Here is a 3,165-nt window from a genome sequence, read left to right as displayed (position 1 = left end):
TGCACACTTGGCTTCTGGCCTAGCACATAGGTAATTCAGTCATTACTTGGTGAAGGACATGAATAATATATGTAAAATATCTGGCCATTAGAAGAAGCTGGGAAGGGCTAACAGGATGTATGAGAGACTGCTTCTGAGTCTTAATGGCCAGGCATTGTGCTGAGGCTGTGGGCCATGGAGGAGCTCCCGTCTTGGCACAGGAGAAAGAAATGTGGACACACCGCTACCGTGTAGTGTGATGAGTCTAGGAATTAAGATATACCAGTGGTAATTAAATCTCAAAATAATAGTGTCTTAACAGAAATAAACCCATGCATAAATGGTTGGTTGACTTTGACAAAGTGCCAAGTGCACACAATGGGGAAGGACAATTGGACATCCACATGTAGAAAAAGGTAGTTGGATCCTATCACACCACATATAAAAATCAACCCAAATGGAGTGAAGACTTAAATGTAAGACCTGAAACTATAAAACTACTGGAAGAAACATAGGAGAAATTCTTCATGATGCTGGTCTAGGCAATGGTTTTTTTTGGATTTGATCCCAGAAGCATAGGCAACAAAAGCAAAAATCGACAAATGGGATTATATGAAACTAACAAGCTTTTGCGCAGCAAAGGAAACAATTATCAGAGTGAAAACACAGCCTATGGAATGGGAGAAAATATTTGCAAACCATATATCTGATAAGGGGTTAATATTCAAAATGTGTAAGGAACACAATAGCAAGAAAACAAATAACTCTATTAAAAATGAGCAAAGAAGGCCGTGCATGGTGGCTCACACCTGTAGTCTCAGCACTTTGGGAGGCAGAGGAGGGAGGATAACTTGAGCCCAGCAGCTGGAGACCAGCCTAGGTAACATAGCGAGACTGTCTTGACAAATAATAAAATGATTAGCCAGGTGTGGTGGCATGCACCTGTAGTCCCAGCTACTTGGGAGGCTGAGGCTGCAGTGAGCCATAATTGTGCCACTATACTCCATCCTGGGTGACAGAGAGAGACCCTGTCTGGAAAAAAAAGACACAGGACCTGAATAGACATTTCTTAAAAGAAGACATACAAATGGCCAACAGGTATATGAAAAAATGGTCAACATCACTAATCGTCAGGGAAATGCAAATAAAACCACAATAGTATATTACCTCACATCTGTTCAAATGATATTATCAAAAAGACAACAAGAGAAAAGGGAACTCTTGTACATTGTTGGTGAGAATGTAAATTAGTACGACCATTATGAGAAACAATATGGCAGGCCGGGTGCAGTGGCTCACACCTGTCACCTCAGCACTTTAGGAGGCCAAGGTGGGCAGATCACCTGAGGTCAGGAATTCAAGACCAGCCTGGCCAATGTGGTGAAACCCCGTCTTTACTAAAAATACAAAAATTAGCCGGGCGTGGTGGTAGGTGCATGTAATTCCAGCTACTTGGGAGGCTGAAGCAGGAGAATTGCTTGAACCCAGGAGGCGGGGTTGCAGTGAGCCGAGATCGCACCATTGCACTCAAGCCTGGGCAACAGGAGTGAAACTCCATCTCAAAAAAAGAAAAAAAAAAAAACCCCAAAAAACAATATGGCAGTTCCTCAAAAAACTAAAAATAGAACTCCCTATGACCTACCAGTCCTACTGCTGGGTATAGATACAAAGGAAATGAAGTCAGTATGTGCAAAAGATATATCTGCACTCCCATGTTCACTATAGCACTATTCACAATAGCCATGGCCAGGTGTGGTGGCTGATGCCTGTAATCCCAGATGTTTGAGAGGCCAAGGTGGGAGGATCACTTGAGGTCAGGAGTTCAAGACCAGCCTAGCTAACATGGCAAAACCCCTTCTTCTACTAAAAATACAAAAAGTAGCCAGGTGTGGTGGTGCATGCCTGTAATCCCAGCTACTTGGGAGGCTGAGGCAGGAGGATCGCTTGAACCCAGGAGGCAGAGGTTGCAGTGACCTGACATCATGCCACTGTGCTCCAGCCTGAGCGACAGAGCAAGACTCCGTCTTAAAAATAAAAAAAGTAAGTTCACAGTAGCCAAGATACGTATATGTGGAATCTAAAAAAGTCAAACTCACAGAAGCAGAGAGTAGAAGGTTGGTTGCCAGAGGCTGGGGAAGGAATGGGGAGATGTGGTCAAAGGGTACAAAGTTTTAGTTAGACAGGAAGAATAAATTTTTGAGATAAATTGCACAGGTTGGTGACTATAGTTAATAATAATGTATATTTCAAAATTGCTGAAAGTAAATTTTAATGTATACTCACCACAAAAAATAAGTGAGGTGATGAATATATTAATTAGTTTGATTTAACCATTCCACAATGGGTACATATATCAAAACACCACATTGTACCCTATAAATATATACAATTAAGATTTGTCAAAAACAAAACAAAATCATAGTATCTTGGACAAGATAGAAGTTTCTTTCTTGGGCATCAGTCTGGATATGAGAAATCTTGGGTTGGTATGGCAGCTCCATGATTATGAGGCAGCTCCTTCTAATGTCGCACCACCATCCCTAAGGTTGCCCTAAGGTGTCCCTAAGGCACCCCTAAGGTGTTATCTTCTTGTGGCCCAAAACAGCTCACCATCACACCAGTGAAGGGAAGAAAAGGAGATGACTGGCACAGTGGTTCCTTGTGCTCTGGATATCACCCACGCACATCTCTTTTGCCAGAACTTAGTGCACTTGGCCATAAGGGAGGTTGAGAAATGTAATCTTTATCCTAGGCAGCCATGTGCCTGTCAAAAAATGGCAGGTTCTGGAACTAGGAGAAACTGGATATCTGGGGACAACCAGCAGTCTCTGGTAAGCTATAACAGTCATGGGAACAAAGTGCTTTGGGAAAGCGGGGAGGGGAACTGTGGAGAGGGTGGAGAGGAGGATTAGGAAGACCTTGGAGAAGAGGGAAGGGTGAGCTGGATTTTGCAGGATGATTGCTAGTTGAGCGTAGAGAGCCATGCAGTCTAAGAGAGGAGGTCCAGAAGATTGCAGTGTGTATGGTTCTGTGGTTGCCCCACAATCCCTGAATAGACCTCTGATCCTTTGCTTCTGGTGCTCCTTTTGTCTGGGATAATTTCTTGTTTCCACACATGGAAATCCTTCAATTCTTAGCTCACAAGCCACCTCCTCCATGGAGCCCTTCCTGATCCCTGACCACTGG

This window comes from Homo sapiens, chromosome 3 (genome assembly GCF_000001405.40).
Source record: "Homo sapiens chromosome 3, GRCh38.p14 Primary Assembly".
NCBI lineage: Eukaryota > Metazoa > Chordata > Mammalia > Primates > Hominidae > Homo > Homo sapiens.
This window is presented reverse-complemented; position numbering follows the sequence as displayed.